This window comes from Homo sapiens, chromosome 8, assembly GCF_000001405.40.
Source record: "Homo sapiens chromosome 8, GRCh38.p14 Primary Assembly".
Lineage (NCBI taxonomy): Eukaryota > Metazoa > Chordata > Mammalia > Primates > Hominidae > Homo > Homo sapiens.
In genome coordinates this window covers 136,783,348-136,801,049 of record NC_000008.11, presented here as the reverse complement: position 1 = coordinate 136,801,049, position 17,702 = coordinate 136,783,348, and the positions used below count along the sequence as shown (strand labels likewise).

Here is a 17,702-nt window from a genome sequence, read left to right as displayed (position 1 = left end):
TTCCTGGGTCTCTGTCCTTAATGTAACCTTACATAAATGGTAAGTCATCCATCTTCCTGAGTTCTTGTTGTTTTCACGTATTCAATTCTTCAAAAATAATTTGGTGTTCATGAAATACCTTATTTTACATTCCATTCAAACAAACAAAAAGACAGCTGCTTTTTTTTTATTCTAGTCCCTGTTAATATACACATTATTAGGTAAAGCATTCACTGATAATATTGTTTTTGTTGCTGGGGAATTTAATCAGCCATATGTTCCTGGGGGAACACTGGTTTTTAACAGAAGGATGTCTGTGAGCAGCAATGCTGTGCCAGATGATCTGAAAAAAGTATTCCAGTGGGTAGCCAGTCAGGTATTGAGCAGGACAAGAGAGCCCCTCCACCATCCTGCCCCCACTGTCATCACCACCCCCCCAACCCCCGCCACACACACCAGGAATGTTGGGCAACCATCAGGTGATGGTCAGGTGATTGTTAACCATTTCTCTAAAGTAATAATTGGCCCCAGCCGTGTCAGGGAAAGGTGGTCTCCTAATAGATAGAAAACACCACCTGAAACTGATCAGCAGCTTCCCAATAAGGTCCCGAAAGTTATGCCAACCTATAAAACCCAAGCCAAGAGGTCAAGCCGGGCACTTGGTTTCTCAAGTCTCCCACTTGGCCCTCTTCCAAGTTGTACTTTCCTTCTTTTTTTCTTCTTTCCTTTTCTTACTGTTCTAAAGCTTTTTAATAAACACATTCCTGCTCTGAATCTTGCCTTGAACTCTCCTGCTTTCTGCCCCTCGGTTGAATTCTTTCTTTTGAGAAGGCAAGAACTGAAGTTGCTGCAGACTGATACAGATTTACCCTGACACAGGGTAACTCAAATATCTTCCACCGCCAACAATCATCCTTTCATTTCACTCTTACAATAAATCTCTGTTGAGTATTAGAATCTTCATTTTATACATATGAACAGTAAAGACCAGAAGTATGGCCAGGCACAGTGGCTCACTCCTGTCATCCCAGCACTTTGGCAGGCCAAGGTGGGTGGATCACCTGAGGTCGGGAGTTCCAGACCAGCCTCACCAACATGGAGAAACCTCATCTCTAATAGAAATACAAAATTAGCCAGGCATGGTGGCACATGCCTGTAATCCTAGCTACTCAGGAGGCTGAGGCAGGAGTATCACTTGAACCCAGGAGGCAGAGGTTGCAGTGAGCTGAGATGGTGCCATTGCACTCCAGCCTGGGAAACAAAAGCGCATCTCCATCTCAAAAAAAAAAGACCAGAGGTATGTAAAACTCTCCCAAGACTAACAGAATTAGTAAAGGATGAAAAAAGGAGATTTATAACATGGTAGAGTGACTCCAAAAGTGTTTTTTTTTTTCTCTTCTGAAAGGCCCATGACAATGCAGCCACAAGGGCAGACTGACTGGCTTCAGCACGATCACTATGGCCAGTGTGCCTGCGGGGTGTCCCCACTTAAAGGTGTCTCTTTAAACTTGAAATGCTCACCTGGCAAAATAAATACTATCACAGGTTCTGTGAAACCCTCAGATTTTCATAAAACATCAGATGTCAGAAAGAGATGAGCAACAGAAGCAGTAATTACCACGAATTCTCTGAAACACTCTATCTCTTAATTAGCTACCATTTGAGGTAATAAAGTTATGTACCACTCAAAGTTATAGCTAAGTTCTTAGCAGATTTTCCTAAGCAGATTCTTACACTGGAAAATGAAAGAACACAAAAGAATAACCCAAGAAGAGAGCATTCTAATTAGTATATTGTGTCTTACAGTCTTCATGTAAAGTATTTTCAGAGACTGATTCCTCAAATTGACAATCTCTCTCTTTGTAGCAGTCACCTTCTGCAGATCTGGATCTGGTGTATACTTTGGTCTTCTCAAATTATTTTATTCTGTTCTCATTCTGGCATAGAGAAATTCATCTCTTTGAATATATCAAATGTGGTTAGGAGCTACCTGCATATCTCTTGAAGAGCATGTCACATGATGTCTCACTTATCAAATCCCGGATTTTAAGAATAGAGTGTCTGACAATTTCAACCTCTCTCCTTTTAGAGATGAGAAAACAGGTTCGGAGAAGACATGTGCCTCCACAAGATCTCAATCTTAGTGCCATCTGTGTGCTGCAGTGTGGACACACACGTCAGAGTACTTGGGTTATGTGTGTCGGGGGTCACCTAACATGCACCAGGCCCTTTACCAGAACAGGTTTTTGTTGTTGTTGTTGTTGTTGTTGTTTTCTAATTGTTAAATCATTATGGGTACATAATGATTACATATAATTATAAGTTATATGTGATGTTTTGATACAAGCATTCAATGTGCAATGATTAAATGGGGATAATTGGGGTATCTGTCACTTTAAGCATTTATCATTTCTTTGTTAGGTACATTCCAATTCTACTTTTCCAGCTATTTTAAACTATGTAACAAATGATAGTTAACTATAGCCAGCCTAATGTGCTACCAAATACTAGATATTATTCATTATATCTAACTGGATTTTTGCACCCATTAACCATACTCACTTTATCTCTGTCTTCCCACTACCCTTCCCAGTCTTTGGTAACCATCAATCTATTCTCTACCTCCATGAGTTTAATATTTTAAATTTTTAGCTCCCACATAGGAGTGAGAACAGGCAACATTTGTCCTTCTTTGTAGAAGGGTTTTTATACAATGTGATAATATAACCATAGAAATACATTATTCATGTAGTGGTGCAGAGTGAGAGTGGCATGTGAATAACTTTCTGAAAACCAGAGAAATGTTCACAGAACAAAATGAAGTTTGAACTGAGTCTTGAAAAATTAAACTCTTTAGTGCAGAAAAGGGTGAAGTACATCTCCAATAGAACTTTATGTGTAAAGGTAAAAATACTTGAAAAAGCTAGCTTGGAAGACCAGATAACTAGATGCAAATTACGAAGCTGTATTTAGCAATCCACAGCATGGTGCCTGGATTCAATAAATGTCTCCATTTCTCTCCCTTTTTCCTTTCTACATCTGAAACACAGGAAGACAAGAGAAAAAGGGAAAATACAATATGTGTCTCAAATATAACATTTACTTCCGCCAGAATTTCTAGGGCACCTCTCATGTTTTTATCGGAATTTGGGAAAATGTTGATCTTTGCCTGGCTTCACAAATGTGAATTCCACTGGGCGAAGGGGAACTTATGATGAAATCAACATGTGTTAGCCAGGCATGTGAGGTTCCATCGTTCATGCTTTCCCAGCCACACTTGGATCTCATGTCTTGATACCCCTATTCCAGCTCATCTATGTCCTAGGCCACACCCTGTCTAGACTGGTGGTTTACACTAAACAGCCAAGTCCTCTCACCTTACTGTTCTCTTGCACATACTGCTACCCCAAATAGTCTTACCCAAACCCTCTTTTCTCTGCTAAGCTAAATTCTGCCAATACTTAATATAGATGTCACCTCCCGTATTATTCTTTTAGAGCTGCCATGACAAAATATCAAGAACTGGGTGGCTTAAACACTATCACACAGTGCTTTAAAGTAACTGTGGTGGGTTTTATTGAATTAACTCTACTTCTATGAATTTTTTTCTATGATATTTGTATTAGTCTGTTTTCACACTGTTGTAAAGAACTACCTGAGACTAGGTAATTTATGAAGAAAAGGAGTATAACTGACTCACAGTTCCACAGGCTGTACAGGACACGTGGCTGGGAGACCTCAGACAACTTTCAGTCATGATGGAAGGCAAAGGAGAAGCAGGTAGATGTCTTAAATGGCTGGAAAAGGAAGAAGAGAGAGCAGTGGGTGATGCTACATACTTTTAAGCAACCACATGTCATGAAAACTCACTAACAAGAGAAAAACATGGGGAGATCCACCCCTATGATTCAATCACCTCCCACCAAGCCCTGCCCTCAACACATGGGGATTACAATTCAAGATGAGATTTGGGTGGGGACACAAAGCCAAACCATATCAATATTATAGTTTGTTTTAGAGGCTTTTACTTTAGATTATTAATATTTAGTGGAACATTACTTTTAACATAATATTAACTTATTGTCATTATTATTGCTATTTAAATATTATCTTTACTACTGGAATAAAATCTCCATGATGGTGGAGACAGTATCTACCATCTTTAATGATGAATCACTACACTCAACTAGTGTTTGGTATTTACTATGTACTTACAATAGTTTGGGGAACTAAGTATTGAGTAAATTATGTCTGTACAATTGAGAAGTCTTTGAAAGATTGTTATGTGAGAAAGAAAAAGATATGATTTAAGACTGGGGGTTGGAAGAACACTGAGGCAGCCTTGTTAAGGATGTTTTAAATTGGGGCAGAGAAACCAGAGACAGGTACAGGCTTAGAGTAAACATGCCTTCAATAAAAACCTCAACACTGAGTCTCAGCATTTCTGAGGATATATAATACTCAGATTATATAATATATCTCAGAAATCTGTAGGATCACAACGCACAAAAATAACAATAAATCAAATGCTGAGTGACACTGTAAAAAAACAAGGAAAATTTCAAATTTGAAAAATGATATGTGGCTCCTTCTCATTTCGCATACCTTATGGCAACTCACTCCTGCACACACTTGTATCAGGACAAGACCCAACACCAGGACCTCCTGGTGACTGAATAAAGGAATGCCCTAGAAAATGTTTTCAATGTGGTGGTGTGGTGTTTTCCTTTAGGGTCTGACCTTTAGGATGTAATTGATTAGTGACTCAATAAATTAACATGCTAATTATACTTCTTCATGTGTGTACTAAAAAAGTTATTTGAAGGACCGTATGTTGCACATGGAAACAAACACTTTCACATCTGTTAATTCAACGTTCCCAAAAATCTAATTTTGGGAATTTGACATTGCGGCAGGGACGATATGTTCATACTGACTTTCACTTTATTCCTTGAATACTCCATGTCCTCTCCTTCTACTTCTCTTTTTATTGTTCTTTCTCTTTGGAATCCTATTAATTATGGTCATCTCATGACTGACACTTCTCATGATTAAAGTTAAGGCAAAACTATTACCATTTCAGAGAGTTCTTCTTTTCCATCCAATCCTAGAGTACATTATTTCAATTCTCAATCATGGCCTAATCATTTTCAAATGACCTTATTTTATTTCTACATAGTAGGTAACACTAAAATTACCTTGCCCTTTTTATTTTTTGATTTGTTCTTTTTTATATCATGTCACTGGAATCTCAATGGAGTGAGAGACCTCTTCCTTTCATGTTTATCACTGTATCACAGGGTCAAGAACGGTGATTGTCACATTAAGGGTGCTCAATAAGTATTTCAGGTATAGATGAACAAGTGAGAACACAGCTCTGGAAAGCTAACTCGCACAGCTAATAGTTTGTAGAACTGAGACACAATATTCAGATTTTCTAATTCAAAGTTCAATGTTCATCTCACTGCTATCATCTACCAAACTTGGCTGTTAGTAGATTGTGCTATTAGTTTAGCAAATTGTTTTAAACAAGCAAATAAGCATATACATTCCATATATATGTTATATATATATAACACATATATGTTTTATACATATATAGCACATATATGTTATATATATATATATAAAACACATATATATGTTCAAAAAATGCACAGATCAAGTGCTAACTCTTTGATTATCAGGTTTGGACTCATTTGACAACTTCGAACACCCCTCTCCCAGCACTTTTATTTTCAGGAGAGGACCAGCAGAACGCACTTCTGAATTATGAAGTATGAGAGTGGTGAAAAATAAGATTCTTAAAATAAAATGAGAATCACTGTTTTGCAATTCAGGCTCTCTGTCTTTGTCGCTGCTTCTCACTTGCCTTTTTCTTACCTTCCTTCTCATGTCACCCAATATTGGGAGTTGGGTGTTTTGTGTTCTGAGATTTAAAAAAAAACTCTCCGTGATGGATGAAAGTCTATGCAGTGAAGCATGCTGTCAGACTTGAGCTATTTGTCACCAAACACTGACACTCATCTAGGCAAAGTTTTTGGTTCTGAGTCATGTCTTTGCTTCTGACAAAATGTCAGTGTTATTTGTCACCATCTGGTATTTATGCCACATCAGATTGTCACTGCTTGCCATGGGTCAGAACCACTGGGCAGGCAGGAGTCTTCACTGATTCTTTCAAATGATTCCCTAGAATAGCCCCTCAGCTTCACCCCACAGGTTCAAGTGAGATATTTATTAAACGTAAATATTTAGTAGACATCAATGGATAACAAGATTGGATTCGCCCCTGCCACTTTAAGAACTCGTGAGTCTACCACGTCCCCAGTATTGATCACAGTAGCTCTAATTGCTATTTCATTCCATTAAACCCATATGACACATAAAAATATGAGGTAGATTTCTTCAAAGATTCAATGAAGACTGGAAAATATAGAAAAATAGGGTCAGTCCAACACAGGTTTTATATGAGACACTGAGATCAACCTCCTAGGGAAAATCTCACTTCACTTAACGAAAGCGAGGACTTGGCCTGAAGACAATGGGTCAGAAGTGATTTTGAGTACACCAACTGTGGGCTGATGTAAGCTTCCTTCATTTTCAACCTTTATCACCAGGACTTTTAGCAATACCTTGAAATTAGAAAGTGACTAAAAACAGAAAAAAAATCTAGTTGATTGCGATACATACTGTAGTATTCACAGGTGAAATATTATTGAGAAGTGACAGCGTTGCTGGCAGCCCTCACAGCCTTCGCTCGCTCTCGGCGCCTCCTCGGCCTTTGCGCCCACTCTGGCCGCGCTTGAGGAGCCCTTCAGCCCGCCGCTGCACTGTGGGAGCCCCTTTCTGGGCTGGCCAAGGCCGGAGCTGACTCCCTCAGCTTGCAGGGAGGTGTGGAGGGAGAGGCGTAAGCGGGAACCGGGGCTGCGCGCGGCGCTTGCGGGTCAGCTGGAGTTCGGGTGGGCGTGGGCTTGGCGGGCCCCGCACTCGGAGCGGCCGGCCGGCCGGGGCAATGAGGGACTTAGCACCCGGGCCAGCGGCTGCGGAGGGTGTACTGGGTCCCCCAGCAGTGCTGGCCCACCGGCGCTGCGCTCGATTTCTCGCCTGGCCTTAGCTGCCTCCCTGCGGGGCAGGGCTGGGGACCTGCAGCCCGCCATGCCTGAGCCTCCGCCTCTCCTTGGGTTCCTGTACGGCCCGAGTCTCCCCGACAAGCCCCGCCCCCTGCTCCAGGGCGCCCAGTCCCATCGACCACTCAAGGGCTGAGTGCGGGCGCACTGCGCAGGACTGGCAGGCAGCTCCACCTGCTGACCGGTGCGGGATCCACTGGGTGAAGCCAGCTGGGCTCTTGACTCTGGTGGCGACTTGGAGAACGTTTATGTCTAGCTAAGGGATTGTAAATACACCAGTCGGCACTCTGTATCTAGCTCGTTTGTAAACACACCCATCAGCACCCTGTGTCTAGCTCAGGGTTTGTGAATGCACCAATAGACACTGTGTATCTAGCTACTCTAATCGGGACTTGGGGAACCTTTGTGTCCACACTCTGTATCTAGCTAATCTAGTGGGGAGGTGGAGAACCTTTGTGTCTAGCTCAGGGATTGTAAACGCACCAATCAGCGCCCTGTCAGACCGCTCGTCTCTCTGTAAAATGGACCAATCAGCAGGATGTGGGTGGGGCCAGATAAGAGAATAAAAGCAGGCTGCCAGAGCCGGCAGTGGCAACCATCGGGTCCCCTTTCACAGTGTGGAAGCTTTGTTCTTTGGTTCTTTGCAATGAAACTTGCTGCTGCTCACTCTTTGGGTCCACACTGCCTTTATGAGCTGTAACACTCACCACGAAGGTCTGCAGCTTCACTCCTGAAGCCAGCGAGACCACGAACCCACCGGGAGGAACGAACAACTCCAGACGTGCCGCCTTAAGAGCTGTAACGCTCAACTGCGAGGGTCCGCTGCTTCATTCTTGGAGTCAGTGAGACCAAGAACCCACCAATTCCAGACACGTTATGATGTCTAACATTTAATTTGAAATACTCCAGGAAATGGGAAAAAAATACTCCAGGGGACAGGAAAGTGGGAAGGGGATAGAGACAAGATTGGAAAAATGTTGATTTTGAGACTGTGTGGCAGGAACATGGGATTCATTGTACTGTTTTCTTATTTTGTGTTTATTTGAAATTTTCCAAGTTTTAAGTGCAGAAAACATTTATTCAAAAAAAAATACATAAATAGGCCTGGTGAAGTGGCTCATGCCTGTAATCTTAGTACTTTGGGAGGTCAAAGCAGGAAGATAGCTTGAGCCCAGGAGTTCAAGATCAGCCTGGGCAACCTAGGGAGACCCCATCTGTAACAAAATTTTTAAAATAAATAAATAAATAAATAAAAACAGCCAGGTGTGGTGGTGCATGCCTGTAGTCCCAGCCACTCTGGAGTCTGAGATAGGAGGATTGCTTGAGCTCTAGAGGTGGAGGCTGAGATGAGCTGTGATCATGATACTGCACTCTAGACTGGGTGACAGAGCTAGAACCTATCTCTAAATAAATGAGGGCACTTCACTCTCACTAAAGTCTTTATATCACTTGTACATTCTGTGGAGATTCACTAAAATATCTGTAGGAAAATCAAGCTAAATTTGGAAAGGCAAAGAATTTAAGAGCGTATTCAAGAGGCAGAACCTTTGTCCAGAAGTGGACTATAGCATGAGAGAGTGTAAAACAAGCCAAAAGAGCAAAGCATAAACACACTGAAAAAATCAGAAGGAATCCATCTGAAGGCTGGTTGGGCTTCCTCCTCTGCAGTTCTTTGGGCTCCCTCACCTTAAGGGTACGGATTGTTTCTGATGCAAGCATCAATTTTACTGAGGTGCTTTCTTAATTCATCTTTCTCACGCAATATATCACCAACTTCTTTCAGCAAATGGTATATCATTGCCATTTGTGTCTAAAGGGCCAGCCTATGTGTTTTACATTGTAGGTGTGCAAGGGGAGTATGTTGTTTTGCCATGCAAAATCAAAACAAAATGGAAACCCAAAGGCATACAAACTAAGACGTCCTTTGAAAACTTGCTGAATATTCCCCACTCAGGAGGTGAAGACATTTATTATCATTACCGCCTTGCAGTTGCCGAGTTTCTCCTGTTTTCCAAAGTCCTTTCACACATTGCACATCCATAGAACATTTGGGCTATTGCACATGGTGTGGGCTTGGAAATCATCAGACATTTGTTCAAATGAAACATTTTATCTTCTCCCTCAACTAAAAATCTCTTAATAGCTTTCCATTACTCTTCAAATAAAAAACAAAATTGTTGCTGTCGTGTATGAAGCCCAGCATGATTCCTTCTCTCTTGTCATTTCCAAATGTATCCACTGAAATGCTCCCCTCAGTCACAACGTGTCAGGAACACCAGCAGTTCTCAACTTTAGACCTGATGCATTATTTTCTTTCCAAAATTTATTCATGGCTTGGTTCCTTCTAACTCTCCCCTGCTCTCCTTCAATGCCACTTCTTCAGAGAATTCTTCAGCACCAATCTAAGGCAGGTCTCCTTCATTCTCCTTTCTCCAGTCACCCAATTTGTCTCACTAATCACATATCAAGATTTGTACTTATTATATTTATTTATTGACTGTCTCCTCAGTTGACAGTAGACCTCATGAGGGAAGAATACCTGATTGTCTTGTTTCTCACAGCAAACCCAGCTCCTAACACAGTGTCAGATACTTAAAATAAAGGCATGATTGCTACTCACTGAAATAAAAAAATGACAGAATGAAAACTGAATGAATAAAAACAGAGCTGCCATTTACTGGCTGTGTAACAATTATGGATAAGTTCCTTCGCATCTCTGAATCTTTTTATTTTGAAGAATGTCTTCTTGATTGTGTTTCACGTAAAGATTACTTAACACACCTGTGAGACCTGGTAGTTTTTATTGTTGCTATCACTGTGCTAAATATTCTTTTTCAGATCCATTTCCACTTCAGGCTAATGTGATTAAGTGCAATGTTTGTTTAAAAAAAATTCTGCTTGCTATTTTTACCATATGTTTATTAAAGCAGCCATTAATCCAAAAAATGTCCACTCATATCTTTTGATCTAAAATGTAACAAAAAATGAATTGCAGGCATTTCTAAACATGAATCTGTTGTGTTTAGAGGTGGGGTAGAGGAGGGATGGTAAAGTATCAGCGAAGTGTGTAGTAGTTGATAAGTTCTAAGTGAGCATACACAATACCAATAACTATATGTCTCTACCTCAATGTTTGTGTTGAAACTAAGAAGAGATCCCATTCTGTTATGTAGAAGGCACAAATAAAAATAGTTAAAAATGTAAAGTAGAATTTTGTTTTTACCAAAATCTTTTTAATCTGTAAAAGTTATGTCTACTTATTTTAACAAAAACATAAGAATTTATTTTGAAATAGAAAATGTAAATAATGCCCATCACAATATAAACTTTGAGAGGAAAAGAAACACTAAACCTCTCTTGTTCCATGCTGTGCCTGTATTTCCTAGTATGGTTTTTGGCACATTGTAGACAATCAATAAATACTTGTGGAATTTATTAAATAATATTACCTGGATAGATAATCAACATGCAGCAGAAGAGGTACTATAGAAACAAAGAGGGCACAAAAACACATGGTTAGTTGTGCTTCCCTGCCTCTCATTGGGTTATTGGCAAGAAAGTCCAAGGAGTGATCACAGAGGTTTTCAACAGGGCCATCAACACTTTGCAAAATGCTTACTAGGTAGGCTGTTGGCATATGCATTCATCTATCTATAGCACTATTTATAAAATATCTACTATGTATTGGACACTGTCCCAGCTTTTGGGCAAATATGGGCAGCATGATAGAGAGTCTTTGTGCTCTCAGTTTTGCAGTGATGACACATAAATGATAACTAGACTGCTGTTCATGACCTAACTCTACCAGATCATAACAATCTGTGACATGGACTATATTATTTAAACTCTCAGCTCAGTTTCTATGTGAAGATGGAGATAATGAAAACCTCTGTCTTAAAGACGTATTTTATATTCTTACTAGCACATTTCAAGGGCTTTAGTATGTACCTGTCCCTAATGCTCACAGTGATAATTGGGCACACCTCCCTGTTCTCACATGGAATTTCTTTCATACCCCCTCTTAACAGTCCTTATCTCTGTTTGATGCACTTACCTGTGTTTGTGTTCCCAGTAGTCTCCAGAGCAGGGCCATGTTACTCATGTTTGCACTGTTGGATTTATAGTTGATAAAACACGTTAGGTACTCAGAATATGCTTATTGAAAGAATAAAAGAGAACACACCATCTTAAAAATCCAAATGCTTGTTTCAAAGAGACTATGAATTAATACTAAAATAAGTTAGTTGACACTGTTGTAAAATGCTGATTAAACCAACAGAGCAAAGAGAACAAATTGTGATGACCTATGACTCCACACTCCAGCCAAACTGCAAAGGACAAACGATGTCTGTCTTCACATTTGATTTCAAAATTGCACCACCAAGTGCACGTCATTGTCTCTCCATTAAACCCAGCAGTATGACTCATTCTTTCAGCAGTTGTGCATGAGCTGAATTGATTTGAACTTGTTACTGACACTAACGCCAGTGGTGAAGTTTGAAATTTAGCAAATCTCCAATTGCATACATAGATTCACAATTATCATTTTTTTCTTTTTGAATACTCATGCATTTTCCGCTCCTGTTCAACACATTATCAACATAATTAGCAAATACAATAAAATATTTAAACCCACTAATTTGTTCTTTTCAATTCTGTAGAAAGTTAGCAAATCTTTGTAAGTATATGATGAATATAGAGTTTATACCAAAGAAAAAAAATCAGCTAAAGATGAACTTAGGAAGAATTTGAAAAGATGGAAAAATACATAATGGGTTCTTGTCTAGCTCAGCTGCTAGCATGAAGAAGTTTACCTAAATACCTGAGCATCAGTGCTGCTATCTGTCAAGTGGATCAAGTTTACTGAAAATTTCTTCCTAAGGGGGCTTGTTAAGTATGAAAACTACTCTTAAGAGTTCAGTGAGCCAGAAACCATCATCCAAAGGGGCCATGAATTAGACATTTGTAGATCTTTAGCGGGATAGTCAACCACTGTTTCTCTTAACACTTTTAAAACATAGAAAAGAAAATTTTCTGTGTGTTTGAATCATAGGTACGCGGAAAAAATTTTACACTTAAGGCTATAGTTCTGCAAGTTATATTTCATATTTCAAAAAATATTTATTTAAAATTCAATGTTTCATAAATATTGCTAGGGAAACGTTATTTTAGTGAACACCTTCCTACTGTTTTCATTTCTCCTTTTTTCCTATCATTTTTCCCTTCAAACTTCTCTTCCATATTTCTTTCTATCGTTACCTCCTGTATTAGTCCATTCTCACACTGCTATAAAGAACTGCCTGAGATTGGGTAATTTATTCAAAAAACAGGTTTAATTGACTCACAGTTCTGCATGGCTGCAGAGGCCTTAGAAAACTTACAAACATGATGGAAGGGAAAGTAGGCATGTCTTACATGGCAGCAGGCAAGAGGGTGTGTGAAGAAGGAACTGCCAAACACTTATAAAACCATCAGATCTTGTGACAGCTCACTATCATAAGAAAAGCATGGGGGAAATAGCACCATGATCTCATCACCTCCCATCAGGTTCCTCCCTCAACACGGGGGGATTATGGGCATTATAATTCCAGATGAGATTTGGGTGGGGACACAGAGCCAAACTGTATAAGCTCCCTCTCTTCCCTCCCTCCCTTTTCTCCTCCCTCCCTAATATTTGGATATTTAATATAAGTTACTTTTCCCATCTTTAAATTATAAATGAATATACCTTCCTTACAGTTTTCATATGAGGGTTAAATAAAACATGCAGAAAGTTGTAACACAATGTTTGATATTTAATGATACATCTCTGACAAGTTTTCATTTTCTTCCTCTCTTTAAATTTTTTCTTCTTTATATCACTCTCTTTCTCCTTTCCTTCCTCATCACCCCTCCCTATATCACTCCCACTCTCTTGATTTTTTTCTTTCTCTTTCAGAATTTCTTCCTAAATATTAATTGTTCTATTATTTGTCACCAACTAATCACTATTCAGTCATCAAGTAGAAGAGTGTAGTCGGAAACAAGCATTTAGTGAGCACAGCTATAGTTTTTTTTGTCTGTATTATTTATCTTTATTGATTAAACATTTATTATATATAAAATAATGTTTTATATATGTATAATGCATAAAGAATGATCAAAAGTGTCTAAGTATATCAACCTTCAATATTTAAGAAATAGAACATTATATTTAACTCTGAGGCTCATGCCTGACCTTTCTCAAGTTTATTTGCCTGATCTGCTAGTTTTATTTCTATATTTCCTGTGTTTTTATTATTTTACAATATGTGCAAAATTTATATTTGTTGATGCTTTTGAATTCTATATACAAGGAACATAAATATGTTTTATTCTGCAAGTTAATATTTTCACTCAACATTCTGTTGTTGATGTTGTATGTTGTTTAATTAATTCTCTTTTATATAGCATTCCATTGTAGGACTATTCCACAATTTATTTAAGCATATACTTGTGTTGGATACTTGGAATTTTTTCAACGATTTGTTTTATGTGAACATGCTTGAACATTTTTTTTCTGGGATATAGGGCCAAGAATGTCCCTAAGTGTCTCAGTAGTTGAAATGCTGTTCATAGGATTTGCTTCTGCAATGTGACTAGATAATACAAATATATTTTGTAGAGTTTTTGAAGCAATTTTCATTCCTATTAGCACTATATAAGTATTTTTTTCTCTATATCCTAACAGTCGTTTGGACTTACAAATTCTTGTCAAGCTGTGGGTGGCGAATTATGCCTCATTGCAGTTGAAACTTTTCTAATGAGATAGAGCCTCTTGCTTTTCCATATGTTTATTGCCACCCTTGTTTTCTCTTGTTAAGGGATCTACTAAATTTATTAATTCTTTTTGAAAATCAGGTTTCTTATCATTTTATTTTTGAATTTTAGAAATTCTTTATGCATCCTGGATCCTAATACTTTTCCAATATATTTGTAACAAATATCTTATTGTTCTCTATGGTTTTGCCTCATTGGATTTTACCCAAATACCTCCCCAACCTCCAAGTGTCTCTTTCAGTGTTTTATAACATGTTCTATCAGAATGCTTCTGCACAGAGGATGAGGTATAAAGCTTTTTGTTTTTCTCTAGGTGGTGACCTAGTTATTACTGGTATTCAGGTTAGCTTCATGTTACCTTTCATGACCTTCTGCATAACTTCAGGCTCTATAAAGTTGATTTAAGAATCTAACTTCTTTTTTATAAATTTTATTTATCTTTTTAAAAATTGACAAATAATAACTGTCCATTGTTATGGAGTATATAGTGATGTTGCCATGCATATAATGTTAATAGTAATCACATCAGGGTAATTAGCATATTTCCTTCATCTTAATCATGTATCATTTATTTGTGTTGGAAACATTTAATATTCTCCTTCTAGCTATCTGAAACTGTATGATATATTGTTAACTATATCATACTACAGTGGTATAGAACACTAGAACATAGCCCTTCTATCTAGCTGTAATTTTGTATCATTTAACAAGTCTCTCCCTATCCTCCTCTTCCTCCGTCTCAAACTCAAACTTATCCTCTTCTCATTTTTCTTGTATTAGGTAAACAGCTTTTTAGCTTACACATATGATTGAAAATATGCATTGTTTAACTGTCTGCTCCTGGCTTCTTTCACTTAATGAAATGTCCTTCAGTTCTATCCATGTTGCCATGAATGACAAGATTTCATTCTTTCTATGGCCGAACAGTGTTGCATTGTGCATGTATACCATGTTATTTTTATTCATTCATCTTTTGTTGGACAAATGTCTTTTGACAAATGTCTGTTCAGAAAACATATTCATTTTTAAATTGTTTGTTTATTTTGCTGTTGAAATGTTTGAATTCTTTATATCTTCTGGATAATAATCCCCTGCCAAATGAATAGTTTGCAAACATGTTCTCTCAATTCAGTAGTTTGTTGCTTCACTCTGTTGTTTCCTTTGCTGGGCAGACGCTTTTTAGTTGAATATAATACCATTTGCATAATTTTGCTTTCATTGCCTGTGCTTTTGAGGTCTCATTCATAAAATCTTCTTTCAGACTGATGTCCTAAAACATTTCCTCTATGTTTTCTTCTAGTAGTTTGATAGTGTTGGGTCTTACCTTTAGGTCTTTGATCCACTTTGGTTTGATTTTTATATAAGGTGAGAGGTACAGTTTAGTTTGTTTATCTGTATATGAATATCCAGTTTTAATGGTACCATTTATTGAAAGAGGGTGTCATTTTTTTGCAATAAACAGTTTTGGCACCTTTGTAAAAAATCAGTCTAGCTATATAGAGAAGTGGATTAATTTCTGTGTTCTGTATTGTGTTCCATTGGTCTATGTGTCTGTTTTTATACTGGTACCATGCTGTTTTGGTTACTACAGTTTTGTAGTACAGTTAAAAGTCTGTTAGTGTGATGCCTCGAGCTTGTTCTTTTTGCTCATTAGTGCTTTGGTTATTCAAGGATTTTGTGGTTCCATACAAGTTCTAAGTTTTTCGTTTCCTATTTCTATGAAGAATATCATTGGTCTTTAGAAAGGGACTGCATTGAACCTGTAGATTTCTTTCAGTGGTATTTTTATTTTAACTATATTAATTCTTCAGATCCATGAGCATGGGATGTCTTCCAATTTGTCTGTGTCCTTTTCAATTTCTTTTTGATAGCGTTTTGTGGTTTTCCTTGTAGATGCCTTTCACCTACTTTATTGCACTTATTCCTAGGCATTTATATTTTTGTAGCTATTATAAACAGAATTTCTTTTTAATTTGCTTTTCAGCTATTTACTGTTCATGTATAGAACCACTACTGATTTTTATGTTGATTTTGTATGCTGTAAATTTATTGTATTTATTTATCAGTTTTAAAGATTTTGGTACAGTATTTAGGGTTTCTCATATATAAGATTATGTCGACTCCAGCTAGTGACAATTTGACTTCCTCCTTTCCAATTTGGATGCCCTTTATTTCTTTCTCTTGCCTAATTTCTTTGGCTAGGAATTCTAGGACCAATTGAATAGGAGTTTTGGGAGTTGGCACCCTTGCCACATTCCAGTTCTTAGAAGGAAAACTTTCAGACTTTCCCCATTCTGTATGATATTAGCTTTAGGTTTATCAAATATGACCTTTATTATGTTGAGTTACTTTCCTTATATTCCAAATTTATTGCAAGTTTTAATCAGAAAGTGGTGTCAAATTTTAATTTTTTGCATCTATTAAGATGATCATAAGTTTTTTGTCCTTCATTCTGTTGATATAATGTATTTATTGATTTGCATATTTTGAACCATTCTTGAATTTTTGGGATAAACCTACCTTGATCATGATGTGTTATCTTTTTTATATATCGTTGGAATCAGTTCGTTTGTATTTTTTTGAGGATTTTTTACTCTGTTCACCAGAGATGTTGACCTGTAGTTTTCTTTTTGTTGTTGTGTCTTTGGTTTTGATATCAAGGTTATGCTGGCCTCACAGAATGAGTTTGGAAGATTTCCCTTTACTTCAATGTTTTGAAATAGTTTGAGAATAATTGGTATTCATTCTTCTTTAGGGGTTCAGTAGAATTTAGTAGTAAAGCCATTTGGCCCTGGACTGTTTTTATTGGAAGATTTTTATTACTGATTCAACCTAATTATTTGTTATTTGTTTGTTCAGGTATTCTATTTTTTTCTTGGTCCCATCTCGGTAGGTTTTATGTGTTTCCTCTAGGTTTTTGAATTATTTGGCATATAGTTGTTCATACTAGTCTCTATTGATCCTTTGTACTTGTGTGGTATCCACTGTGATGTTGCCTTTATTATTTCTGATTTTATTTATTTGGGTCTTCTTTTTTTATTAATCTAGTTAATGGTTTGTCATTTTTTATCTTTTAAAGAAAACAACTTTTGTTTTGTTCACTTTTTGTATTTTTTTAGTCTCATTTTAGTTTATTTCTAGTCTTTCTACTCATTTTGGGTTTGGCTTTTCTTGCTTTTATAGTTCTTTGTGATGCATCATTAAGTTTGTTATTAGAAATGTTTCTAGTTTTTTCACATAGGCATGAAACATCATAAACTTGTCTCTTCCTATTACTTTGCCTGTGTCCCATAAGTTTTGATATGCTGCATTTCTATTTTTGTTTTAAGATTTTTTAAAATTTGTTTTTTAATTTCTTCCTTCATCCATTGGTCATTCAGGGGCATGTTGTTTAATTTCAATGCTGCATTAGTTCATTCTCTCATTGCTCTAAAGAAATAGTTGAAACATGGTAATTTGTAAAGAAAAGTGGTTTAATTGACTTATGGTTCCACACACTGTACAAAAAGCAGCATGAAGCTGGCATCTGCTTCGGGCAGGCCTCAGGAAACCAGCAATCATGGAAGAAGGTGAAGAGGAAGCAGGCACATCTTACATGGCTGAAGCTGGAGAAACAGAGTGAGGGCAGGAGGTGCTACACACTCTTAAACAAATAGATCTCATGAGAACTCTATCATGAGAACAACACTAGGGGAAAGGTGCTAAACCATTCATGAAGACTCTGCCCTCATGATTCAGTGACTTCCCACTAAGCCCCACTTCCAATATTGGGAATTACAACTTGACATGAGATTTGGA

The 17,702-nt window shown here is 37.7% G+C and overlaps 1 long non-coding RNA gene across 1 annotated transcript in view; it reads right to left on the bottom strand.

Moving 5' to 3' along the window:
* The window catches only part of LINC02055 (long intergenic non-protein coding RNA 2055), a 366,804-nt gene that overhangs the window by 96,552 nt on the left and 252,550 nt on the right, over positions 1-17,702 (bottom strand). Inside the window, exons 3-4 of the long non-coding RNA NR_147196.1 lie at positions 11,161-11,215; positions 3,680-3,776 (exon numbers count right to left, since the gene is read on the bottom strand). This is a non-coding gene — a long non-coding RNA (long intergenic non-protein coding RNA 2055). The remainder of the gene's footprint in view (positions 1-3,679; positions 3,777-11,160; positions 11,216-17,702) is intronic.